General features: G+C 50.0%; 1 protein-coding gene and 1 long non-coding RNA gene across 3 annotated transcripts in view, besides 8 other annotated features; one reads left to right on the forward strand and one right to left on the reverse strand.

The window, feature by feature from the left end:
- Positions 614 to 863: a silencer, noted in NCBI's record as "silent region_17107". NCBI's record gives its function as "represses an Ori minimal core promoter by ATAC-STARR-seq in GM12878 lymphoblastoid cells {active_cell/tissue: GM12878}" and the evidence as "EXISTENCE:reporter gene assay evidence [ECO:0000049][PMID:35858748]".
- MAPK13 (mitogen-activated protein kinase 13) lies at positions 718 to 14,726 on the forward strand. 2 transcript variants are annotated; one of them, NM_002754.5, is made up of 12 exons: positions 718 to 906; positions 1,476 to 1,605; positions 2,826 to 2,884; positions 5,958 to 6,066; positions 6,224 to 6,253; positions 6,689 to 6,736; positions 6,861 to 6,975; positions 7,084 to 7,155; positions 8,570 to 8,649; positions 8,907 to 8,985; positions 9,084 to 9,260; positions 9,499 to 14,726. In NM_002754.5, the coding sequence occupies exons 1-12, from the start codon at positions 788 to 790 to the stop codon at positions 9,576 to 9,578; spliced, it is 1,098 nt and encodes a 365-aa protein (NP_002745.1). In that variant the 5' UTR covers positions 718 to 787; the 3' UTR covers positions 9,579 to 14,726. The 2 variants fall into 2 exon arrangements, 1 of the variants encoding a protein (NP_002745.1); NR_072996.2 differs by lacking the exons at positions 7,084 to 7,155; positions 8,570 to 8,649.
- Positions 869 to 1,472: an enhancer, noted in NCBI's record as "H3K27ac-H3K4me1 hESC enhancer chr6:36098441-36099044 (GRCh37/hg19 assembly coordinates)". NCBI's record gives its function as "activates a minimal SCP1, AML or CMV promoter by ChIP-STARR-seq in naive H9 embryonic stem cells {active_cell/tissue: H9 hESC(naive)}" and the evidence as "EXISTENCE:reporter gene assay evidence [ECO:0000049][PMID:30033119]".
- Positions 869 to 1,483: a biological region, named in NCBI's record as "H3K27ac-H3K4me1 hESC enhancer GRCh37_chr6:36098441-36099044".
- Positions 904 to 973: a silencer, noted in NCBI's record as "silent region_17108". NCBI's record gives its function as "represses an Ori minimal core promoter by ATAC-STARR-seq in GM12878 lymphoblastoid cells {active_cell/tissue: GM12878}" and the evidence as "EXISTENCE:reporter gene assay evidence [ECO:0000049][PMID:35858748]".
- Positions 1,364 to 1,483: an enhancer, noted in NCBI's record as "active region_24419". NCBI's record gives its function as "activates an Ori minimal core promoter by ATAC-STARR-seq in GM12878 lymphoblastoid cells {active_cell/tissue: GM12878}" and the evidence as "EXISTENCE:reporter gene assay evidence [ECO:0000049][PMID:35858748]".
- Positions 1,614 to 1,723: a silencer, noted in NCBI's record as "silent region_17109". NCBI's record gives its function as "represses an Ori minimal core promoter by ATAC-STARR-seq in GM12878 lymphoblastoid cells {active_cell/tissue: GM12878}" and the evidence as "EXISTENCE:reporter gene assay evidence [ECO:0000049][PMID:35858748]".
- Positions 2,194 to 2,443: an enhancer, noted in NCBI's record as "active region_24420". NCBI's record gives its function as "activates an Ori minimal core promoter by ATAC-STARR-seq in GM12878 lymphoblastoid cells {active_cell/tissue: GM12878}" and the evidence as "EXISTENCE:reporter gene assay evidence [ECO:0000049][PMID:35858748]".
- Positions 8,899 to 9,399: an enhancer, noted in NCBI's record as "H3K4me1 hESC enhancer chr6:36106471-36106971 (GRCh37/hg19 assembly coordinates)". NCBI's record gives its function as "activates a minimal SCP1, AML or CMV promoter by ChIP-STARR-seq in primed H9 embryonic stem cells {active_cell/tissue: H9 hESC(primed)}" and the evidence as "EXISTENCE:reporter gene assay evidence [ECO:0000049][PMID:30033119]".
- A 2,170-nt stretch (positions 14,727 to 16,896) lies between the features above and the next one.
- The window catches only part of BRPF3-AS1 (BRPF3 antisense RNA 1), a 50,512-nt gene continuing 42,082 nt past the window's right edge, over positions 16,897 to 25,326 (reverse strand). Inside the window, exon 3 of the long non-coding RNA NR_187147.1 lies at positions 16,897 to 17,135. This is a non-coding gene — a long non-coding RNA (BRPF3 antisense RNA 1). The remainder of the gene's footprint in view (positions 17,136 to 25,326) is intronic.

The following is a 25,326-nucleotide window of genomic DNA, read 5'->3' on the forward strand; positions in this document are numbered from 1 at the left end:
AAAAATATTTATGAATAAAATGATATGACGCCTGGGTTTTGCTTCAAAACGATGGTGGGAGAGGAATGTGGATGAAATAAAATTGATTATGAGTTGTGGTTGCTGGGGAATTGGGGTCACGGGGGTTCATTAGAACCTCCTATCAGATGTGGTTCAGAAGCCTCAGACCTGGGAGCTGGCTAGAAATGCAGAATCTCGGCTCCACCCCAAACCTACTGAGTCAGGATCTGTATTTTAATCAAATAAAATGCCCAGGGGATTCCTGAGCACACTGAAGTGTGAGAAGCGCTGGCTTACTCTGTTCAATTCTTTCCTGCATGTTTGACATTTTCCATAATGAAGAGGTTGTGGGGTTTTGTTCTGCTTTCCTGTGTGTTCACAGTCACAGGGAGCTCTTCCTACGGAGACCGGGGCTGGAGGGAACTGGGAAGCACTGCCTCCCCGCTCCTGCTTGGACCCACCAGCCCCGCCGCTGGCCCGCGCTCGGCTGGGAGGCACCGGGGTCCCGCTGGGCAGCCCCGACCCCGTGCCTGGGCCGCACCTGCCGCAGTGGCTCCGTCGGGCCGGGCGGAAGCGCGGGAGCGCAGGGCTGGACAGGCCCGGGCGTGGCGGCCCCGGCGCACCTGGGCGAGCCGGCAGGTGGGAGCGTAGCAGCCCGGGGCCCCCGCCCTCGCGCGGGGGAGGAGCGGGCGGCGCGGGGCGGGCGCAGCGGGGGTCGGGGCGCTGGGAGCCCGTTGGGCCGCGAACGCAGCCGCCACGCTGGGGCCGCCGAGATCGGGTGCCCGGGATGAGCCTCATCCGGAAAAAGGGCTTCTACAAGCAGGACGTCAACAAGACAGCCTGGGAGCTGCCCAAGACCTACGTGTCCCCGACGCACGTCGGCAGCGGGGCCTATGGCTCCGTGTGGTGAGACCCCTGGGCCGCTGGGGGGCGGGGGGCGGGCGCCAGGCTCTCCCCTTTCCGCCCAGCCCGCCCTGGGCTGGCCCCTCGCCAGCGCCACCTTGACCGCGGACCTCAAGGCCCAGCGCCCTCCCCGGGGCCACCCAGCGGCCATCTCCCTTTTCTCACCGAGTGGCTGAGTGAGGTCTCTGGGGGTTGAGTTGGGACTGGGCCTGGTTCTCCAGGACTGTACACTTGCAAGACCCCAGAGTTCATCGGGCAGATCCTCACTGTTACAGACGAGTACACCGAGGCCCCAAGAGGGGGAGGTGGCTCGCCAAGTTGCAGACAGAGTGAGACTCCCGCCCTGCCGTGGATCCCGTCGCAATGAGACGTTGCTGCCCCTGGCGCTGTGCCCCTCTCTCAGCTCCTGCCTGGCTTCCTACTCCCTGCCCTGCGTCCCGCGGCTCCCCCATATTCTAGGTGGTGGGCCTAGTCCCCTCTCAGCCCAGCTGCCCAGTGGGAGGGGTCAGGGCGGTCTGGGAGATACGGCCCAGGAGGAGAGCCTCGCCTGCTGACCGGCCTGTGCCCGACAGCTCGGCCATCGACAAGCGGTCAGGGGAGAAGGTGGCCATCAAGAAGCTGAGCCGACCCTTTCAGTCCGAGATCTTCGCCAAGCGCGCCTACCGGGAGCTGCTGCTGCTGAAGCACATGCAGCATGAGAACGTAGGTGGTGGCTGCCCCGGGGAGGGGGTGGGGGCTGCCCTGGGGAGTCAGGGGCAGGCGCAGGCGGGGCCTCCCGGTATGGAGAGCTCGGGACAGTCTCCTCCCTGCTCCCCTGACGGTGCCTCTCGCCTCACTATTGAAAGGAGGGGGTGCCGAGACCTTCCCTGCCCACTTTCCAGGAAGAGGTCAAAGGGTATTTTTGGCAGAATGCACTTTGTGAGGTACAGACTGTGTTATCCTACAGAGGAAATTGGCACAGGGGAACTTTGTAATTGGTTCCATGTCTGAGAGCTTGTGGCCAGCTGGGACTAGAATCCTAGTTAGCGTTGTGTCCACGTGACCCTGATAACAATAGCAATATACACATATTGAGCACTTCCTATGTTCTAAGAGCTCTGCATACACTAACTTGTCTAGTCCTCATGATATATGAGTACTACTGCCCCCATGTCACAGACAGGAAACTAAAGCACAGCAAGGCTCACAGATTAGATGGTTAGTCAGTAGCAGAGCTGGGGTTTCAATCTCGGCAGCGAGGCTCCCGGTCTGAGCACATGACCATCAGATTGTCTTGTCTGATAGAAGCAGCTGGGAAAACCAGGGGCCCAGCTCAGGGCCTGGCAGCCAGGCTTTGCTGCAGGATACCTAGATTGGAGGGCAGACATTTCAAAGAATGATTTCAAAATGTTATGTACATTTTAAGCCCATCCTTCTCCAGCAAACCCCTCCCCTATGGCCTCCAGCCAGGGTGATCTTGCCCTTGGCTCTGAACCAGCCCTGTGGCAGGCAAGGATGGATGTGGCTGGAGACCCAAGGTCAGGGGCAGGGAGTTTGCTGGCTGAAAAGCTCCTTCTCTGTTCCCTCCTTTTTCCCTTCCACCCTCCCCTTATGCTTTCCTGCTGCCTAGGTGAGTTGAGAGTGGGTTTGTGTTGCTTGCCCTGACACCAGACTTGACAGCAATGAGCACACATCATTCTCCCCACCTTCCCTTCTCCCCAGCCTGACTCTCTGTCATGATTTATTGCAAACTCCCTCCAAATCCAGGGGATTCCTCTAGGCCTCTGCCCTTTTTACTGCTTCCAAGAAGGTTGGAGACATGCCTCCTGCTGGAGGTGGTGTATTAGGAAAGGGTGGATGGCCCTGTGCATGGCCAGGGCCCAGGAGGAGGTGGGAGGAGAAGGTAGCGTCTGTCTAGCCCTCACAGGTGACTTCTTCCCCAGGTCATTGGGCTCCTGGATGTCTTCACCCCAGCCTCCTCCCTGCGCAACTTCTATGACTTGTGAGTTGGGCTGCACTGGGTTCTGGGGCATTTGCAGGCCTTACATGCCGCTGGGGAGCAAGGTGGGGGAGGGTCTAGGGTTTCTATTCCGGGTGTGGCGGGGAGAGCCTCCTTCCCTGGCAGTCCTGTGCCTTTGCCTGTCAAGTGTGATTCTCTCTGGAAAGATGCTTTTAGCCAAAGGCAGGCAGGAAGAGGCAGGAAGGACTTTGTGGGGTGCTTGCCTGGCAGGGGGCAGTCTGCACAGCTGCTTTGCTTTTTACCCAGCTTTAACACCATGAAGACACATCTGCCAGTCCTCACAGGGTTAGCACCAACTCACCTTTCCTGGGGACACAGATGTGAGTCTGGACCTTGGAGCTCTTTCTAGCATGAAGCAAGGATTAAGAAGCCTTGGCTGCCTCTGGCTGATGGGGGTGTTTGACAGAATGGCAGAAAACCAGAATATTTAGCTGCAAAATGTATAGCTTTGCCTGTGCAGTGTCTGAATGAGACTGGACTATTTGGACAAGATGGAGAAGTCAGTGTGGCACGTGGAGGCCAGCAGCTGGCTTGGTCAAGCTGAATCTGGACTGACCCTACAGGCAGCCTCAAGACCTGGGGACTTTGAGCCGGGAGGTGATATGTTCAGATGGGATTTGGGGGATGCACACTGGCAGCAGCAAGAAAGGAGTAGGAAGCAGCTCGGAGGCAGAGGGGGAGAGCCTGGAGGTCAGTGTTAGTGATCTAAAGTAGGGATCTAAAGCAGAGGTGATGGGATGCCAAGAGCAGACTTGAGGCCCCATTTGGGAGGCAGGGCCGACACAATGTTCCATCTGTTGGGGTGCAGTAGCTGAGTGAGGTGGCAGAGGTGGAGGAATGGGCAGGTTCCTGCTTGAAATACACGGTAGAGGAAGAACAGATCTTGGGGGAAAGATAACGAACTCCATTTTGGACACTTTACTTTTAAAGAAACTGTGAACATTCCAATGTTTAATCACAGTTGCAAATAAATATGAACCTCAGGAGACGAAGGTCTGGGCTAGGGATGTGGATTTGTGCTGGAATAATCACCGATGGGTTATAGCTGACACCCGGGAACAGATAATTGTAGAATGTGGTAAGATAGTATTGATTCAGATATCAACATGAAAGAGAAGATCCAAGAGGATGAGCAGATGGAAGAAGCTGAGAGGGCCTGATAGGAGGCAGAGGAGAGTCAGCAAAGAATTGAGAGGGAGTTTCAGACTTGGTGAAAGGTTAGATCAGAAGAAAAGGGAGTCATGGTGTGTTTGTCGGGTGTTCACTGGTGACCTTGAGCTGAGCAGTCTGGCAGTAGGAGGGAAGCAGAAACCAGGTTAACTCAGGACTGGGAGGTAAGGCAGTGGGATCCAGGAGTGTGGACCGCCCTTTCTAGAAGTTTGGTGGTGAGAGAGGGAGAAGGGGTGGTCAGTTGAAGAAGCAAAGTCAAGGGAATGTGGTTCTAGCACAGAGAGGCTTCAGGAAGCATGTTGCCAAGATGAAAGAACCAGTGCCCGAGTGGAGGGGAAAGACACAGGAGGGGACTGGGCATGGAGAGGCCCCCAAGGGAGGTGTGTGGTCCGGCAGGAGAGGGCTGCCAAAATCCAGAGTCTCCTGGAGATGCCTCCAGCATGTCCTTTCAAAAACAACAACAACAACAACAACAAAAAACACAACCTATTACATAATTGTTTAAGGTAACATTCATTTTAAAAAAGTTTTAAATTTATTATATTCTAGAGATAGGGCTGGGTTGCCCAGACTGGAGTGCAGTGGCACAAACACAGTTCACTGCAGCCTCCAACTCCTAGGCTCAAGCCATCCTCCCGCCTCAGCCCCCCAAGTAGGTGGGACTACAGATGCATGCCACCATGTCCAGCTTTTTGTTTTGTTTTAATTTTTATAGATATGGGGTCTCACTATGTTACTCATCCTGATCTCGAATTCCCGGCCTCAAGTGATCCTCCCACCTCAGCCTCTTGAGTAGCTAAGACTAAAGGTGCATGCCACCACACCTGGCTAATTTTTTTTTTTTTTTCTGAAAGGTGGGGTCCAGGCCGGGCATGGTGGCTCACGCCTGTAATCCCAGCACTTTGGGAAGCCGAGGCAGGCAGATCACCTGAGGTCAGGAGTTCGAGACCAGCCTGGCCAACATGGCAAAACCCCGTCTCTACTAAGAATACAAAAATTAGCTGGGCGTTCTGGCGTGCACCTGTAGTTGTAGCTACTCAGGGAAGCTGAGGCAGGAAAATCGCTTGAACCTGGGAGGTGGAGGTTGCAGTGAGCCAAGATCACGCCACTGCACTCTAGCCTGGGCGACAGAGCAAGACTCCATCTCAAAGAAAAAAAGAAAGGAAGAAAGAAAGATGGGTCCCTATGTTGCTCAGGCTGGTCTTAAACTCTTCGCCTCAAGCGATCGTCCAGCCTCCATCTCCCAAAGCACTGGGATTGGAGGTATGCCCCTGGCCTATTTTATAATTTTTATTATTTTTTGTCTTTGTCCTGGTCTTTGCTTTTACTGTAACAGTTACATTTTGCTGGCCTTATCCTGTTGTGCAATCCCCTAAGAGGCTGCAGGAGCCTCCCCATCTCCCTCTTCCACCCTCCTGGAAACTGTTGTATTGTTTCCTTCTTGGAAAGGTAGACATATTGTTTGTTTGTGGAGCCATCTCAGCTGGGCATGACCCTCTGAGGGATCAAATATTTGGACAGAAGCCGAAGGAAATACTGGCAGATGTTTCTAACTCCTAGCTGTGGCTTTCCCTGGGGTGTGGAGGAGGGCAAGGAGAGAGTACCTTTGAAGAGCGGGAACACAGTTCCATGTGGCTTTCCTGAGCGCGCTCCAACTGCAGCGCTTACTCCGAGCTCTGCCAGCTGGGCGGCCCGCCACAGGGAGACTGGGAGCCAGGAGCCCAGAGGCCCGTGTGGTGATCTGGCTGGCTGAGGTGGAGTTGAGTTTTTGCACACTGGAGGGTGTCTCTATGACCCCTGTTCTGCCCTGAGGTCCCTCCTCTGAGCTCTGACCTGGGGCTGGGTGGGACCCGGCACTGTTCCAAGAACCCCTCATGCCTTCCAGCTACCTGGTGATGCCCTTCATGCAGACGGATCTGCAGAAGATCATGGGGATGGAGTTCAGTGAGGAGAAGATCCAGTACCTGGTGTATCAGATGCTCAAAGGCCTTAAGGTGGGTGGGGACTTGGAGGCTGGCAGAGGGGACGCCTTGCTGTCTAGACCTGAGGTTTGGGGAGGCTGGAGGGAGCGCACTGTTACAGGTCGGCCAGCCTGAAGTGCCTGGTGTGGAAGCTGGGCCATGGACTCACCCTTCTCTCTCTCCCACATAGTACATCCACTCTGCTGGGGTCGTGCACAGGGTGAGTGCTTTCTCTGCCATGGTCCTCAGAGGCCCCTGTCCCATCCCTGGGTATGGGGTTCTCTGGCAATCAAGGAGTGGGAAAGTTGGAGGGAGGGGACACTGCCCAGGAGCACAGAATGTGGAGTTTTCACACCCAGCCACGGCCCAGGAAGGCCTGCTCAAAAGAGTCACTGTGTCCCAGGGGACTTCATGGGGAATTGCTGCAGACAAAGTGAGCCCTGAGCTGAGTGTTTCAGGCTTCAAGAATCAGGAACATTTTAGAGCTGGGTGGGCCCTGAGAGAACACCTAGTCCAACCCTCATTTTACACATGAAGAAACTGAGGCCCAGAAGGGGAAGGGGCCTGGCTGAGGTCACACCCCTGGGTGGTGGTGGAGCTAGGACAAGCTCCATCTCTGCCTCAGCCTAGCATGCATTCTCTGTCCTCCCCCCAGGACCTGAAGCCAGGCAACCTGGCTGTGAATGAGGACTGTGAACTGAAGGTGAGTGGGCTGCAGGCTCAGCCCAGAGGCGGGATAGGCCCTCCCCCAGGGAAGCCCCTGGAAGCCGCTCCCAGAGCCTCCTCCCCTCAGCAAGTTCCTTTTCTATTTATCCCCTGTGCCATAGATTCTGGATTTTGGGCTGGCGCGACATGCAGACGCCGAGATGACTGGCTACGTGGTGACCCGCTGGTACCGAGCCCCCGAGGTGATCCTCAGCTGGATGCACTACAACCAGACAGGTCAGTGGTCAATGCCTGAGAGGGCGGTCCTGGGGCCATCTGGTCACTCGGTGCTGACTGACTGCTGGGCCCCAGACAGTCCAGGTGACACTCTCCCTCCCTCTGCAGTGGACATCTGGTCTGTGGGCTGTATCATGGCAGAGATGCTGACAGGGAAAACTCTGTTCAAGGGGAAAGATTGTATCCTTTGCTGGAAAAGCCAAACTCCATCTAGGGATTCCTTCCTTCAACAGACACTTTATTTAAATAACTGTCTTTTTTTTCTTAATGTGAGAGTGATACATACTCCCTGTAGAATAATTTGTAAATGCAGATAAGGCTGGACGCAGTGGTTCATGCCTGTAATCCCAGCACTTTGGGAGGCTGAGGTGGAAGGATCCTTTGAGCCCAGGAGTTTGAGACCAGATGTGGCAACATAGGGAGACCCCATCTCTAAAAAAGTTTTTTAAATTAGCCAGACATGGGCCTGGCGCAGTGGCTCATGTCTGTAATCCCAGCACTCTGGGAGGCTGAGGCGGGCAGATCATGAGGTCAGGAGATCGAGACCATCCTGGCTAACAAGGGGAAACCCCGTATCTACTAAAAATACAAAAAATTAGCCAGGCGTGGTGGCAGGCGCCTGTAGTCCCAGCTACTCAGGAGGCTGAGGCAGGAGAATGGCGTGAACCCAGGAGGTGGAGCTTGCAGTGAGCTGAGATCGCGCCACTGCACTCCAGCCTGGGTGACAGAGCAAGACTCTGTCTCAAAAAAAAGAAAAAGAAAAATCCCAGCTACTTGAGAGGCTGAGGTGGGAGGGTTGAGCCTGGGAGGTTGAGGCTGCAGTGAGCTATGATTGTGCCACTGTACTCCAGCCTGGGTGACAGAGGGAGACCCTAACTCAAAAAAAAAAAAAAAAAAAACAAAATGTTGGGTGGGCATGGTGGCTCACACCTATAATCCCAGCACTTTGGGAGGCCATGGCAGGCGGATCACCTGAGATTAGGAGTTCGAGACCAGCCTGGCCAACGTGGTCAAACCCCATCTCTACCAAAAAATACAAAAATTAGCCGGGTGTGGTTCACGCCTGTAATCCCAGCTACTCGGGAGGCTGAGGCAGGAAAATCGCTTGAACCCAGGAGGTGGAGGTTGCAGTGAGCCAAGACTGTGCCACTGCACTCCAGCCTGAGTGACAGAGTGAGACCCTGTCTCAAAAAAAAAAAAAAAAAAAAAATGTAGATAAGCAAAATGATGAAAAATTCTACCACTACGTGGAAAATACATTTTGGCACGGCACACATTAACTGAGTACCTGTGTGTGCAGGGCAGGCCTTTGGTGAGAAGACGAGGAAACAGAAAAGAGTCACTGGGATGAAGGCTGAGAAGTCCACATCCATTTGTTGGGTAGGGACCCCCCTCAGCCTGGCACGTTGGAAAGCTCTCCAGAGCCCTGAGCCCTGAAGAATAAGCCTCCTCCTGAGAGCAGGAGGTGGTTAGGCAGGGCTGGAGCCTGGATGATCAGTTGCCATGGTGCCCGGGTGAAGTGATGGTGGGGTCGCAGGAAGGGCAGTCTCAGACCCACCAGGAGAGCAAGGCTAAGCCTTAACCTGCCACCAAGACCTGGACCAGCTGACCCAGATCCTGAAAGTGACCGGGGTGCCTGGCACGGAGTTTGTGCAGAAGCTGAACGACAAAGCGGTGGGTGGTAAATGGGACCTAGGCTGGCCTGGGCTGTGTGCTTGCCTGACGTGGGCCCAGTGGGCTGCAGGCCTTTGTGGAAGAAGGCTCACCAGCACCTTCCCACAGCATCCTCCTACCCTGGCAGGCACTCTTGTCTTAATCTCACCGTGGACCCTGACCTGAACTTTCAGCCCTGCTCTGAGGCTTTTCTGAAATCCCTGCTCTACACGCTGAGGCCAGAGCCCTAAGGGGTTTGATGCTTTTCTGTCTTCCAGGCCAAATCCTACATCCAGTCCCTGCCACAGACCCCCAGGAAGGATTTCACTCAGCTGTTCCCACGGGCCAGCCCCCAGGGTGAGTCTCAGAGCCCGCTCCCCAGGGGCCTCTCAGCGTATCCCAGAGGGCGGGCTCTCCCAGCCCCTGGTGTGAGGCTCTTGGCTCTGCCCCTGCAGCTGCGGACCTGCTGGAGAAGATGCTGGAGCTAGACGTGGACAAGCGCCTGACGGCCGCGCAGGCCCTCACCCATCCCTTCTTTGAACCCTTCCGGGACCCTGAGGAAGAGACGGAGGCCCAGCAGCCGTTTGATGATTCCTTAGAACACGAGAAACTCACAGTGGATGAATGGAAGCGTAAGAGCTGGGGCCTCGGGCTTCCTCGCCTCCGCCTGCAGCCTCTCTTCCTTGCTTCCTCCATCTTTGTGCCTGGCCTCTGCCAGCCCTACCTGCCACCTCCTTCTTGGTGGGCATTGTCTCCTGGGTGCTTCTTTCTCCTTGAGCTGACTTCGCTCTCCATGCTGTCTCTGAAGGGGGGTGGACTTTCTCGCCACAGCACCTCTTTACGCACCTTAAACCATGCTGCCTTTCTCAGAGCACATCTACAAGGAGATTGTGAACTTCAGCCCCATTGCCCGGAAGGACTCACGGCGCCGGAGTGGCATGAAGCTGTAGGGACTCATCTTGCATGGCACCGCCGGCCAGACACTGCCCAAGGACCAGTATTTGTCACTACCAAACTCAGCCCTTCTTGGAATACAGCCTTTCAAGCAGAGGACAGAAGGGTCCTTCTCCTTATGTGGGAAATGGGCCTAGTAGATGCAGAATTCAAAGATGTCGGTTGGGAGAAACTAGCTCTGATCCTAACAGGCCACGTTAAACTGCCCATCTGGAGAATCGCCTGCAGGTGGGGCCCTTTCCTTCCCGCCAGAGTGGGGCTGAGTGGGCGCTGAGCCAGGCCGGGGGCCTATGGCAGTGATGCTGTGTTGGTTTCCTAGGGATGCTCTAACGAATTACCACAAACCTGGTGGATTGAAACAGCAGAACTTGATTCCCTTACAGTTCTGGAGGCTGGAAATCTGGGATGGAGGTGTTGGCAGGGCTGTGGTCCCTTTGAAGGCTCTGGGGAAGAATCCTTCCTTGGCTCTTTTTAGCTTGTGGCGGCAGTGGGCAGTCCGTGGCATTCCCCAGCTTATTGCTGCATCACTCCAGTCTCTGTCTCTTCTGTTCTCTCCTCTTTTAACAACAGTCATTGGATTTAGGGCCCACCCTAATCCTGTGTGATCTTATCTTGATCCTTATTAATTAAACCTGCAAATACTCTAGTTCCAAATAAAGTCACATTCTCAGGTTCCAGGTGGACATGAATTCCAGGGGGAAATGATTCAACTCACTACAGACAGCTGGGAGGGAGGGGCCCCTTCCTGGGCCCCGTGCTGAGGCCTTGTGCTCTGTGAAGGAACCCAATGTGTTTGGCTGCTAAATTAAGGGAGTTGCAGAGAGAGCTGCAGCTGGTGCGATTGCATTCAGGTTATTTTGGGTGAGTGATAAGCAATCAAGATATGAAACAACAGCAGGCTCGGAGACTGCGAGCTGCACAGGCAGAAATGGGCTCTTGCCTGGCTTGATGGCAAACCGTTCTGCTCCCTTTGGGAGATGGCACAGCTCTCCAGAGCTTTGACCTGACAGTGGCTAGAACCTCTCTGTTTTTATCTGAGAAACTTTGGCAGAACAAATTTCCATGTGCACAAGCTGTCGGGCACAGTGGGTCTCAAATTTCCTTGTGCACCAGGGGACTTGTTAAAATGCAGATTCCTGGGCCCCACCCCAGGGCTTGTGACTCAGCAGGTCTGCAGTTGAGACCTTAGAATGTGCATTTGAATGAGGACCTCTCGCCCTGACCCAAGCCTAGTGATTCTGATGGATATCAGACCATAGTTCGAGACATTTAGTGGATTTCAGTCATACTTGATTTGTTGGGAGGCCTAAATCAAAAACCTATAGGAGGAGACTGGGGGGCTTCAGATGGAGTTTCACACTCATCTTACAGGTGTTAAAACTGAGGCTCAGAAAGCTTTTTTTTGTTTGTTTGTTTGAGACAGGGTCTGGCTCTGTCACCCGGGCTGGAGTTCAGTGGCACAATTACATCTTACTGCAACCTCAGCCTCCTGGGCTCAAGCCATCCTCCCACCTCAGCCTCCTAAGTAGCTGGGACTACAGGTCTGTGCCACCCAGGTGCACCAGGACTGCAGGTGGCTAATTAAAACATTTTTTTTCTTTTTTGTATAGGCGGGGTTTCTCTATGTTGCCCAGGCTGATCTTGAACTTCTGGACTCAAGTGATCCTCCCACTTTGGCCTCCCAAAGTGCTGGGATTATAGGCATGAGCCACCCTGCAGGCCCAGACAGCATTTTTAAGGCCTTGAAACTCTTCTGTATAATACTGTAATGGTGGATACCTATTGTGCATTTGTTACCATCTGTAGGACTGGATAACACAGAGTGAACCCTCAAGTAAACTATGGACTTCAGTTAATAATAATGTATCAGTATTGGTTCATAAATTGTAACAATTGTGCCACACTAATGCAAGATGTTACTCATCAAGAAAACTGAGGAGAGAGAAGGGGAGGAAGTAGGTGGGAACCTCTATACTTTCTACCAACCTAAAACTGCTCTAAAAAATAAACCACAGGCCGGTCGCAGTAGCTCACGCCTGTAATCCCAGCACCTTGGGAGGCTGAGGTGGGCGGATCACTTGAGGTCAGGAGTTCAAGACCAGCCTGGCCAACATGGTGAAACCCCATCTCTACCAAAAATACAAAAATTAGCTGGGCTTGGTGGTGCATGCCTGTAATCCCAAACTACTCGGGAGGCTGAGGCAGAATTGCTTGAACCTGGGAGGTGGAGGTTGCAGTGAGCTGAGATCACACCACTGCACTCCAGCCTGGGTGACAGAGTGAGACTCCATCTCAAAAAAACAAAAAAAACAAATACCCTGAGGACACAGAGACATTGGGTCAGACACCCACAGCTAGGAAGTGGTGGAGTCAGATTGGAACCCAAGTAGGCTTGAGCACTGTACCCAGCTTGGATTCAAGGGTTGCCCAGCCTTCCCTCTTCACGCCAGTCTGAGACCCTTACTGCTGACTGTGTCCATGGTCTCTGTTTTCTCTCCCACAGAATGGCCCTGCTGTCAAGGAGCTGGGGAGTCCTTGACTGGGACTGGCTAGTCTTGCCACAGCCCTGGCCTCGCTGGTTACTAAAACTGCCCCAGGTTCCCTGAGTCTACATCCCTCTAAGCCTCCTGAGAATTCTCACTGCCCCAAGGAAAAAGTCTAGCCTTCCTTCTTGGCCTGGCATTCAAAACCCCTTGTGTTCTCTCTAATCTCATCAGCTCCCACTGCCTCCCCTAGCTAGTCCTTATGTCAGTGTGGGACACCAGTCCTGGGATCCACCGTAAGGTTCATTCTGCATTCACAGGTTAAAGGTCTTGACAAGTCCTGCAGTAAAGAGATCCGTTCCTCATTTAATCCAGAACTTCCCAGATGTACTTAACCGCAGGACCCATTTTCTCCCAACAGCATGACACACATAGCCTTTTTTGCCCAGTGCAGCCCAGTGCACAGGTCCCGATATTGCCTCTCCCCAAGTAGGCTTGGCCTTCTTTTAGTGCCCGTGCGTGGAAGGCCCTCCATTCTCCTCTCCATTCTCCTTGGCCTTCAAGGCTCTACCTTAGGCCTCCCTCCAGGCAGCTGTTCTCCATCATCCCCCCTGGGCTGCAGGCCCTCTGTGGGCAGCATTTAGTGTGTGGTTTGGCCTCCCCTTCCCATTGCCCACTGTGAGCAAATACCTGTGCGTGAATGAATAATGAGTGAAAGATGTCCCAGGGGCCTGTCGGTCACTTCTTTGCCCCGACCAGGCCAATGTCATATGGAAGGTGGCAGAGAGCCCAGCAGGAAGCAGAAGTGGGCGGCCCTGGGCTGTACCTTTGAGCTGCTCTCCTGAAAATCTCTATTATTTCAGACTCCCAGACCCCACCCCCCGCTTCATCCTCTGGTGTCCTCCTAGGCCATCCCCACTCCGGAATTAAACCTCAGCCCCTCCCACAGAGTTTTCTCAAATCTGTGAAGTTTCTTCAAAAGGCGGTGGAGGTGCTCAGCAGTGCAAGGTGGGGGGTGGAGGGGGTGGGGAGTAGAGGGAGTGGGGGTTCCACGGGTTTGGGTCTTGCCCAGTGGGCACATGGCCTGTGTAATAGGAAACAAGTCCATTCTCCTGCTGTGGGGGGCAGAGGAGCTGGCGGGGCGAGGGAGGGGGAGATGTGGGCTCAGGTATTCTTGGTGGATGCGCTTCGTTCTGTGGCTGATGGGGTGGCTTAAAAGATCTTAACAGAGAGAGATCAGGAAGCCAGACTGCAAGGTGGGGGACATTTCCTAAGAGCAAGTGTACCCTCCATTCCCTCTTTTGAGGAACAAAGAGTATCTTTGCTGGGGCCTGAGTCATCCATGAAAACAGACAGCAGCGGTGTCCCAGGGCAGGGCTTGCCTGGCGTGGATTGGGGTGGTGCTGCCCCCAGTGAGGGGCAGCACAAGGGGAGACAGAAATGGAGGAATAGCCCCCGTAAGGGCAAGCCCAGTGTGCACCAGTGCCCAGAGCTGCCTGATGGAGGAACAGCTCCGTAAGGGTGAACCCAGTGTGCACGGGTGCCCGGAGCTGCCTGCGTGAGGCTGGGGGCTAGTTTGGATGAGGGCATGGCTCAACTTTCACTTGGCACATTGAAATAGCTTTTGCTGTCTGCTAGGGTGTGGAAAACTGTTTTTCCATGGCCCCAAGCAATGCTATAGCTACAGCTGAGGAGGGAGGAATCTCTCCCTGCCTCTCCTCCCAACTCTTGGCTTTTGCTTCCTTAAATTTGAACAATTCCCTAAGATCTAATGCTGGGAGGCTCCCCTTCCTTCATTACACAGTGAACTCATGTGCTCTATCTGCATTCCCCCTAAATCCTCCTGAGCTTTTAGGTAAGAGGCCGATGATTTCACAATCGGCAGCAGAGGCCTAAGGCCATTCCATCAAACTGAAGATGGCAGCAAGTTGTCCTCACTTCTTCATTGAGCACCCATGGGTGTGTACTGGAGCAAGGGTGGTGCCAGGGATTCTCCTGCTCTGGTTCCTCCTGCGGGGTCCCTGCTCAGCTGGGCAGCTGCCCTCACTCTGGGCGGGTGGCATGTGAGTGTCAACAGGGCCCCTCTCAGTCAGGGGCTCTTGGCCATTTTTTGTGCCATGGATCGCTTCTCAAAATCATATTTTCTTTTCTTTTCTTTTGAGATGGGGTCTCACTCCATTACCCAGGCTGGAGTGCAGTGGTGCAATCACAGCTCACTGTAGCCTCGACCTCCCTGGGTTCAGGTGATCCTCCCACCTCAGCCTCCCAAGTAGCTGGGACTATAGGCATGCACCACCATGCCTGGCTAATTTCAGAATAATATTTTCATACACATAAAATATGTAGGATTACAAAGTAAGCTAGTTATATTTATATACAGTTGTCAAAATATTTTTAAAATGTATAACGTGATACTATGTGTATAGGTTTCTTTATTAACATATTGAATAAAAAGATCGAGGGTAGGCCTATTAAACAATGGTAAACTGAAGAGAGATGAGTGTAAACAATATTTTAAGATAGATACCTGTGGCAAACTGTAAAGGGATATGAAAAACTCTGTAATTTCTATTGGCACTGCTGATACAACTGCACTTTGCTACCTTTGTTCATAACCAAGGAAATAGAAATGACTGAAAATAAAGTTGTATTCTATTCCAATCCAAGTGCACAGACCCCTGAATTCTATAGTTTGTGGACCCCAGTTATGAGCTATTGGAATGAGGCTGTTCTAGCTACTGAAATGAGGCTTTAGGTATCCTCTGTCAATTCCTAACAAACCCCCCAGCCCCACCCTCTATGATCATGGAGCCAGGCTGGAAACTTCCAGCACTGCACCTGGACGCCCACACACTCATCAGGGCCCGCTCCTCTGGACCGCCCAACCTCACCATCTGGGTAGAAATGGACCTGACTGGGGCATTTTGCTAGGGCAGCACTCCCCAACGTTTTTAGCTCCAGGGACTGGTTTTGTGGAAGACAACTTTTCCATGGATGGAAAGGTTTTGGGTGGGGAATGGTTTTGGGTGAAACTGTTCCACTTCAGATCATCAGGCATTAGATTCTCATAAGGAACGTGCAACCTGGATCCCTTGCATGTGCAGTTCACAATAGGGTTCGTGCTCCTATGAGAATCTTGTGCCGCCACTGATCTGGCAGGAGGCAGAGCTCAGGCTGTAATACTCACCTGCGGCTCACCTCCAGCTATGCAGCTCGTTCCTAACAGGCCACAGACAGGTATCGGCCCCCTGCCTGGGGGTTGGGGAACCCTGTGTTAGGGAATTGGTGGAGGCCTCTATATCTAGTTTGCAGAATGGGTGGAACTCCTCCATCCCTGCCCTACTGTGGTCCCTCTAAACAATTTTACTGATGAAGACACTTAGGCCCAGAGTAGGGCGAGGGCTCAGGTCTCCAATTTACCACTGCACCATTCTTCCTGCTGCCAGTGTGGCACGGGCACTATGGAGATGAATTTGTGTTTTTTGCTCCCTGTGTTACTGCCCCTGAGCCCCCGGCCACCATAGGCACAAAGGTAGCCACACCTTGGGACAAGTTTGTGTTAACTGGCCAAGAGAAGGAGCTGCCACAATACATTCCTCTCTGTGTTCCCAAAGGTCTCACTATTGAGAATATTTGGCCAGGACCCTGGGATGGGACAAGGTGGGGGATGAGAGAGGGAAGTGTGGTTGGGAAGCACTGTGGCTTAGATAGGAGGTTTCTCCTGACCAGAAGGAGTTTGAAGCCCATGAGTCCCCATATTCATTTGGGACGGTGCCAGCTCCCCACAACACCCTGGCAAAGCCCAGGAAGGAGCTGCTGGGTGTGCCCGGGAAGGCTGGACCCTAAGACCAGGGCTCCTGGTTTTGGCTGAAATTTCTGTGTCCGGAGTGTGGCCTGGGGCAGCAGACCATGGACCCCAAAGAGCCCTGTGGACTGGGTCAGTGGTCTTCTGAGACAGACGTGTTGGTTACCCACCCAACAGCCATTCTCCCATCTTCCTTAAAGAACTCACATTTTATTCTAGATGCAGCTTGCTTGGGAAGGTGGCCTTTCCCCCAGCTCCAGAAGGTGACCCATGAAAGCCCTAAACCAAATGTGCTGATTTTCCCTTTGCTAGGGATCGATTTAGGACTCAGTCCTGCCCAAGAGAACTTGGGAGAAGTCTGGGAAGAAGATACAGGTGGTCTGCACCTGCTACCTGCCCTGAAGATGGTTTTGTGAGCTCTGCAGCTCTGGCAGCCATGGTGTGACTATGAGGTAGCAAGCCTAGGGTAAAAGGCCCATACACTGAGGACGATGGAATGGAAGGATGGAAAGTTCCTAAATGCTTGGATACATCAGGGAACTATGAAACCACTCTGAGGACTGCCTGCCTCTAGACCTCTTGCTGTGTGAAATAACTAAATAATCACTTTTTAGCTTAAGCCGCTATCAGGCAGGTTTCTTGTATGTATGGCTCATACATTCTTAACTGGCACAGCATCTCAGTGGTTTCAATACAGACTCATATGCACGGGGGCTTTCTCCAGATTGTGGGGTCCGTAAGATGGCAGAAGTTTTGTAAAGTTCCCAGGAAGAACCACAGTAAAGGCTGCAGTTGGATTTCCTCCAGCCCGGCAGGATAGGGCATTGCCTTTAGAAATCTGAGTTTAGTTCGGCCTTTCCTTTTATCTTATTTGTTTCTTTTTTTAGACACAGGGTCTCGCTCTGTTGCCCAGGCTGGAGTGCAGTGGCACAATCATAGCCCACTGCAACCTCAAACTCTTGGGCTCAAGCAATCCTCCCACCTCAGCCTCCCAAGTAGCTAGGACTACAGGCACATGCCACCACACCTAGCTAATTTTTTTATTTTTATTTTTTGTAGAGACAGGGTCTCACTATGTTGCCCAGGCTGGCAATCTTTCTTTTTTATCTTCCATCAGAGGAAGTGGCACCCCTCTCTAATGCTGCTCTCTCCTTGTGTGGTACACTATAGTAGTTAAGTGTTAGCTCTGGAGATATCACGTTCTTCTCACCAGCCCTGTGATCTGGGGCCTCAGTTTCTTCATCTGTAAAATGAGGACAGCAACACTAAAGAAATAAAGATAAGGAATGTACTCAGAACAGTACCTGGCACAAAGGAAGTGCTTGCCAAGCATTAACTGTTATTTTTATTATTTTCTCTACCACATCCTCTTCCCTCCTCGATTACCCCATCTTCCTGACATCTCCACTTCCTCCTTCTCAGTAGCAGTTTTTCCCACTCACCTTGTGTCCATGTTAAATCCCTCCTCAGTGGGTCTACTACCTTATTCCCACCTGGGTTCTTTACCTTCTTGACAAACTGTCTTCAAAGAGGAGTCTGTGTTTGTCACCTCTGTTTTCTCACCACGACTCCCTAGCAAACACCCTGATACCTGCCTTCACCATCTACCCTTCTTCCACAAGGACTCTGTCATGTTCTACAGCAGTCTCTGATCAACAAATCTTGCTGTCCTGGGTCCCAGGCCTCTCCACCATGCCTGCCACCCCCTTCTACAGGGAGCCCCTCTTCCTCAGTGGTGTGACTGTCTCCCACCCCCCCAGTGCCTTCCAGCTCTATCTCCCCAGTCTGGTCACTGGGCCAGCTTCCTCCTGCCTTTGACTTAGCTCACAGAGCAAAGTCCTTAGCCTGTGGCTTCCCTTTCTTCCCAGCCGTACTGGCCCTCCAGCCTGGTCCTCTCTCTAGAGCCTGGATCTGACTCCGGAGGCTTTCCGTGGAATCCTCCCACTGGGCCACCACATCTCTTCCCACTTAACCTTCCTAAACTAACCTCCCTAGACCAGCTCTCCCATCAGACTCCCCCACTCTGGCCCACGATGCCCTCTATCCCTTGGCCATTTAGCAGGGCCACCTTGCTGGCCCCTCCCTGCCTCTGCCTTGTTTCCCTGTTCATCCCACATCTCGGGGCCCCTCTGTGATAAGGCTCCTCCCAGCTATTCTGTGTTGGCCACTCTAGGCCCCTTTGCACCTGTTCTATTATAAGATTAATAATACACAATGATTTCCTCCCTCTAGGCTCTTCCTTTTCTTATCTGTTCTGCTGCCAGATCCTTCTCCCTTAATGCTGCTGAGACATTTCATCCCCTTGCTCAAAAGCCAAAAATAGCCCCCTCTTGCTTACAGCACCAGGTACCATACCCCGCCTGGCTGTGTTAGTTCCCACAGTAGGAACACAGCTGGGTTACAGCAGCTCTTGCTTGTATTACAACCCCAGTAGCCTTTCGGGCAAGGTCTGCTGAGTGTGGAGTTAAGAGCCTCAGTTTTGCATTCAAAAAGACCCGGGGTTGCATCCTGGCTTTGCCACTTATTAGCCATGTGTATTAGTCAGGGTTCTCCAGAGAAACAGAACCAACAGGATATATGCAGAACTTGCAAAAATCTCTATCATCTATCTATATCCACCTATATCTATATCATCTATATATATCATCTATCTGTATCTGTATCTATCATTTTTGGGGGACCTGCCCCAAAAATCACGTAGGTTCTTTTCTATTTTCCTAAGCATCGGCTGGCTTGAGAAATAAAGGGACAGAGTACAAAAGAGAGAAACTTTAAAGCTGGGCATCCGGTGGAGACAGCACATGTTGGTAGGATCCGTGATGCCCCACAAGCCACAAAAACCAGCAAGTTTTTATTAGGGACTTTCAAAAGGGGAGGGAGTGTGCGAATAGGTTTGGGTGACAGAAATCAGGTACTTAACAGGGTAATAGAATATCACAAGGCAAGTGGAGGCAGGGCGAGATCACAGGACCACAAGATGGAGGCGAAATTAAAATTGCTAATAAAGTTTCGGGCACCATTGTCATTGATAACATCTTATCAGGAGACAGGGTTTTGAGATCAACTGGTCTGACCAAAATTTATTAGGCGGGAATTTCCTCTTCCTAATAAGCCTGGGAGTGCTATGGGAGACTGGAGTCTATCTCACCTCTGCAATCTCGACCATAAGAGACAGGTACGCCCTGTGGGGGCCAGTTCAGAGACCTACCCCTAGGTGCGCATTCTCTTTCTCAGGGATATTCCATGCTGAGAAAAAGAATTCAGCAATATTTCTCCCATTTACTTTTGAAAGAAGAGAAATATGGCTCTGTTCTGCGCGGCTCACCGGTGGTCGGAGTTTAAGGTTATCTCTCTTATTCCCTGAACAATTGCTGTTATTCTGTTCTTTTTTCAGGGTGCCCACATTTCATATTGCTCAAACACACATGCTGTACAATTTGTGCAGTTAATGCAATTATCACATAGTCCTGAGGAGACATACATCCTCCTCGGCTGACAGGATTAAGAGACTAAAGTAAAGACAGGCATAGGAAATCACAAGGGTATTGACTGGGGAAGTGATAAGTGTCCATGAAATCTTTACAATTTATGTTTAGAGACTGCAGTAAAGACAGGCATAAGAAATTACAAAAGTATTAATTTGGGGAACTAATAAATGTCCATAAAATCTTCACAATCCACGTTCTTCTGCCATGGTTTCAGCCGGTCCCTGTTTGGGGTCCCTGACTTCCCACAACATATCATGTATATCTATAATCTATATCTATCATCTATCTATATCTGTATCTATCATCTGTCATCTATATCTGTATCTATCATCTATCTATTATCTATCTATCTATATATCTATCTATCCTTATTTATTTTTAGGAATTGGCTGACAAGATTGCTGGGGATTAGCAAGTCTGAAGTTTGTAGGACAGACCAGCTGGCTAGCAATTCAGGTAAGAGTTGATGTTGCAATCTTGAATCTGAAATTCATAGAGCAGGCCAGGCAGGCTGGAAACTCAGGCAAGATCTCTATGTTGTAGTCTTGAGTCAGAATTCCTTCTAGAAACCTCAACTTTGCTCTTAAGGCCTTTTCCTGATTGGTTGAGGCCCACCCTCAGTAGGGAGGGTAATCTGCTACAACCAACTGATTGTAAATGCTAATTCCATCTACAAAATTTCTTTGCAGCAACATCTAGACTGTTTAACCAAATAACTGGGCATGTAAGCCTGCTTGTCACACCATGCATTTTGGAGCAGGGTATTTTCCTCCTCTGAGCCTTATTTTCCTTCTCCAAGATGGAATCTTGGAAGAGCTCAGCTCATAGAACTAGTGAGGGTAAAGTGCATACAGAGTGCACAGTAAATATTAGCTATTTTTACTATTGTTGTGGTTCTATCAGTGGGTACTCAAAAACACTTGTGGATGATGTTAATACTCTTGGGAATATGGGACCTACAAAACACGGCTGCTGCCCTCCAGTTTTTGGTTGGGCTGTGTAGGTATAACACGCAAGTATGGAGGTGAACCGTGCTTATTCCCATCTGACTCTGGGGCCCAACAGACTGGTTCAGAGCCTTTAGTTCATGTACAAACTCCCAAAGGAACAAAATCTTCCACAATTCTTCACATTCATTTTTGGGAAGGGAGGAATAAAGTTTCTCCACTGGTTTCTTCATTTTTGCGGGGATTTGGAACAATATATCAAAAAGAATTAAATTTTACTTCTTCAGCAGCCATTTCACATTTTGTAAGAACTGCATATTTATGCCAGTAAACAACGAAGCAGGAACAAGATGATAGCTCTGTTTTCCTGGAAATCAGGAAATCAATCAAGCTGTCTCAAACTGAGATGTCTGCATTGTGAAATCTTGCTAACATTCCAAAAAGCTGTTTTAAATAAGAGTAATTTTTGTAAGTGGAAATTCTCTCCCTCTCTTTTTCCCCCCTCACCCCTCTCCCTTCCTTCCCTCCTTTCTTTTTTTAAACCAGTGTTGCCCACTGATTACTTCTGATGTGTTCGGCCTAGGCATCAATTTTTAAAAATAGGTGGGATGGGATATGGGTTTCTCTGCTTCTCTGAGACCTTTTCATTGTTTCTGCCCAATTAATTGGCACCCATCTCTGCCTGCCTAGGAGTCTGCTTGCCTTTGTCCACACCAGCCCTGCCTGTTCCTATCCTTTTTTTTTTACAGTGAAGCCATTACTTCAGCTGCCTCTTTCAGAACCAGGAATAAAATGATCTCAAAAGAACTTCTCTGTGTACAGTATTAAGATTTTATACACACACACACACACACACACACACACACACACACACACACACACTTTTTATTTTAAGGGTACAGTGGGGCATGCGTGTATTCCCAACTACTTGGGAAGCTGAAGCAGAAGGATCACTTGAGCTCAAGAGTTCAAAACCAGCCTGGGCAACACAGCAAGACCTCATCCTTTAAAAAACAAACAAAAACTTATACAATGAACAACTTCTTTATTTTAGATTTATAAAATAGGTGCAAGAAGAGCACAGAGAATTTCCATATATGCTGCACCCAGCTTCCTTCTTATTAATATCTTAGTACAGCACTTTTTTCACAACTAATGAACCAATATTGATATATTATTATTTATTTATTTTTCTTGAGACAGAGTCTCACTCTGCCACCCAGGCTGGGGTGCAGTGGCGTGATCTCAGCTCATTGCAACCTCTGCCTCCCGGGTTCAAGTGATTCTCCTGCCTCAGCCTCCCGAGTAGCTGGGATTACAGGCCCACACCAGCACGCCTGGCTAATTTTTGTATTTTTAGCAGAGACGGGGTTTCAGCGTATTGGTCAGGCTGGTCTCGAACTCCTGACCTCAGGTGATCCACACACTTTGGCCTCCCAAAGTGCTGGGATTAAGGCGTGAGCCACTGCGCCTGGCCTGATACATTATTATTAAGTAAAGTTCATACTTTATTCAGTTTCCTTTGTTTTTACCAAAGTTCTACAGTAAAACTTATTTCCTAAAGTTTTACCTAATGTTCTTTTTCTGTTCCAGGATCCCATCTAGGATGCCATATTCATTTAGTCATGGTGTGTCCTTAAACTCCTCTTGGCCATGTCAGTTTCTCAAATTTTTCTTGTTTCCGATGACCTTGGTGGTTTTGAGGAGTACTGGTCAGGGATTTTGTAAAATGTCCTTCAGCTGGGACTCGTTTAATGTTTTTCTCATGATTGGACTCAGGTAATGTGTTTTTGGAAGGAAGACTACAGTAGTAAAGTAACCTTCTCATCACATCATATCAAGGCTATATCCTATCAATATGACTTAGCACTGCTGATGTTAACTTTGATCACCTGGCTAAGGTGGTGTTTGCCGGACTTCTCCACTGTGAAGTGATTTTCTCCCCCTTCTTCCCACACTATAATATTTGGAAATAAGTCACTAAGCACAGCCCATACTTAAAGAGGGGAAGTGTACTCCACTTCTTTGAGAAGGGAATATCTAGATAAATTATTTGCAATATTTCTGTATGGGCTATTTTTCTCAATAATTTACGTCTATGGACCAACAGGTGTTTATTTTATACCTTGGTTATAATCCAATAAATAACATAATAAAAATAAGTAATAATAGTGATATGGGTTGGCTGTGTCCCCACCCAAATCTCATCTTGAATTGTAGCTCCCATAATTCCCATGTGTTGTGGGAGGGTCCCGGTGGGAGAGAACTGAATCACAGGGGAGGTTCCCCCATGATTCTGGAGGTAATGAATAAGTCTCACGGGATTTCATGGTTTGATAAGAGGTTTCCCCTTTTGCTTGGCTCTCACTCTCTCTTGCCTGCCACCATGTAAGGCGTGCCTTTTGCCTTCTTCCATGATTGTGAGGCCTCCTCAGCCACATGGAATTGTGAGTCCATTAAACCTCTTTCTCTTTATAAATTACCCAGTCTCGGGTATGTCTTCATCAGCAGTGTGAAAATGGACTAATACAAATAGTAAATAAATTTTTTGAGATGGAGTCTTGAATTGCTTGAACCCCAGGCTGGAGTACAGTGGTACAATCTCAGCTCACTGCAACCTCTGCCTTTGGGGAAGTAGGAATGTTCTAGGAAAAGATACTGACAGATACCTCTGGGTCTGGGCTTTTCTTCTGGGGAAGTTTATAAATGACTAAATCATACTCCTTGTTACAGGCCTGTTTAGACGTTCTGTATCTTCTTGAGACAGTTTTGCTTTTTATCTTTTTTGTTGTTGTTAATTCCAAAGACTTAAAACTATGGTTTCTGTCTATGAATTTAGTCATTTCAACCAAGTTACTGTGGTGTGGGTTCTGCCTCTGTGGTTCAAGTAATTCTCCTGCCTCAGCTTCCCAAGTAGCTGGGATTATAGGCGCCCACCACCATGTGCAGCTAATTCTGTATTTTTAGTGCAGAGGGGGTTTCACCATGTTGGCCAGGCTGGTCTTGAACTCCTGATTTCAAGTGATCCACCTGCCTTGGCCTCTCAAAGTGCTGGCATTACAGGCATGAGCCACTGTGCCTGGCTAGTAAATAATTTTTTTTTTTTTTTTTAGACAGGGTCTCACTATGTTGCCTAGGCTGGAGTATAGTGATACAATCTCGGCTTACCGCAACCTCCACCTCCCAGGTTCAAGTGATTCTCCTGCCTAAGCCCCCCGAGTAGCTGGGATTACAGATGCCCGCCACCATGCCCGGCTAATTTTTGTATTTTAGTAGAGACAGGGTTTCACCACATTGGCCAGGCTGGTCTTGAACTCCTGACCTCAAGTGATCTGCCCACCTTGGCCTCCCAAAGTGCTGGGATTACAGGCGTGAGCCACCGTGCCTGGCCAGTAAATAAATTTTTAAAGAGCTCTATCTTTTGACTTGATTTATAGGCTTTACTTTCTTTTGTGTGAATTGAGCCCATTTCCCTGAAAGGACCTGGAGGTACTGCTCACAGCCAGAGGGAGTCAACTCATCAGTCATGCAAACACACCGAGTCCTGGGGGTGGTGGAAAGATGTTTCACTTCTCCCATTTTGATGCTGACCAATCCAGAGTTCACTTTGGATGGGCACCCTGGAGGCCCTTCCCGCTCTCATCTGGCTTCTTCCTTGTTGATCCTCTCTCCCTTTTCCATCCTAACACCCACCTATCCCCTGGTAAGACATGTAGGGGATCTTCATTCTATTTGCATGAAATAAGGAAATAAAATATAACAGATATAAATCATGGGTAGTGTAGCTATCCTTTTGTTGCATGTTTTCTAGGTGCACTCTTCTGGGTACTTTAAATATATCACATCTAATCTTTGCACTAATTACACAGCAATTATTATTCCAATTTAACAAACAAAGAAACTGAATCTCTAAGAGTTTTTTTTTCTTAATTCCCCCAAAGTTTTCCTCTTACTGCAGTTTTTTCTTTTCAGTCTCTTCCACCAGCAACTCCTCTGATGCATCTCCTAATGGTGGAGTGCCCATGGCTCTCTCCTTGGTTGCCCTTTTCTGTTCATGCTCCCCTCTAAATGGTCTCTTCTACTCTCCTGGCTTTCCATACCATCCATATGCTGATGACTAGCAAATGCACATCTCTACCTTGGATGTTTGTATTTGATTTCAGACAAGTCAACATCTTCCCTTGAGTGTTTTAAATCAAAAGTCAGAGGTTCTGCTTCTAGTAGTGGTGGAGTCGCTTGTATTGTATTATGATCATTATAGAAATAATAAAAAACCCAACTATTGGAAGGCACTGGAGAGACCAAAAGCAGGCAGAAACCAGAGGGGAGTAAACCACCAGAAGAAGGAAGTGCAGCGGGGAAGATTTGTGATCACAAGGCTTTTGCCTGAGGGTACTCTTCAGAACAGGTAGCACAGGATGGCCAGAAAGTGGCTAGTCTTACTGGTTTGACAAGTCAGAGAATGGGATTTAGAAAGAAAATCTAAGAAATGAAGAAACCACAGAGGCTTCTTAAAAGTGCATATAAAATCTGATCAAATCCTTGGCTGACTCCTGATGTGCATGGATAGGGGATAATTTAAGGAGCCCAGCAAGAAACAAGCAGAAGGTGAAAGACAGGAAGTTGAAAGAACTGAGCAGAAAGTTTAGCTGCCACTCATCTCAGGGGACACAGAATTTGGAAATTTATGCCTGCCAAGTTAGCTGCCTGAAAATAAATGCTCTTCAGAGGAAGGTAACAGAATCCAGATTCTCTATATTGTATTATCTATAATGTCTAGAATAATACAATTTTTTTAAAACTTGAAACTTGAAAACAAGCAGGGAAATGTGATCCATAGTCAATGAAAAGCAGTTGGCCAGGTGCAGTGGCTCACGCCTGTAATCCCAGCATTTTGGCAGGCTAAGTCGGGCAGATCACAAGGTCAAGAGATCGAGACCATCCTGACCAACATGGTGAAACCCCATGTCTACTAAAAATACAAAAATTATCTGGGCGAGGTGGTGCGTGCCTGTAATTCC

Source organism: Homo sapiens, chromosome 6 (assembly GCF_000001405.40).
Source record: "Homo sapiens chromosome 6, GRCh38.p14 Primary Assembly".
Taxonomy (NCBI): domain Eukaryota; kingdom Metazoa; phylum Chordata; class Mammalia; order Primates; family Hominidae; genus Homo; species Homo sapiens.

Bases quoted from the DNA above. Each gene is read 5' to 3' on its own strand.
- MAPK13 (NM_002754.5), top strand. From the start codon at position 788: ATGAGCCTCATCCGGAAAAAGGGCTTCTACAAGCAGGACGTCAACAAG. The intron at 7,156-8,569 runs GTATCCTTTGCT...CCTGCCACCAAG, and splicing joins TCTGTTCAAGGGGAAAGATT to ACCTGGACCAGCTGACCCAG. The intron at 9,261-9,498 runs GTAAGAGCTGGG...TGCCTTTCTCAG, and splicing joins CACAGTGGATGAATGGAAGC to AGCACATCTACAAGGAGATT.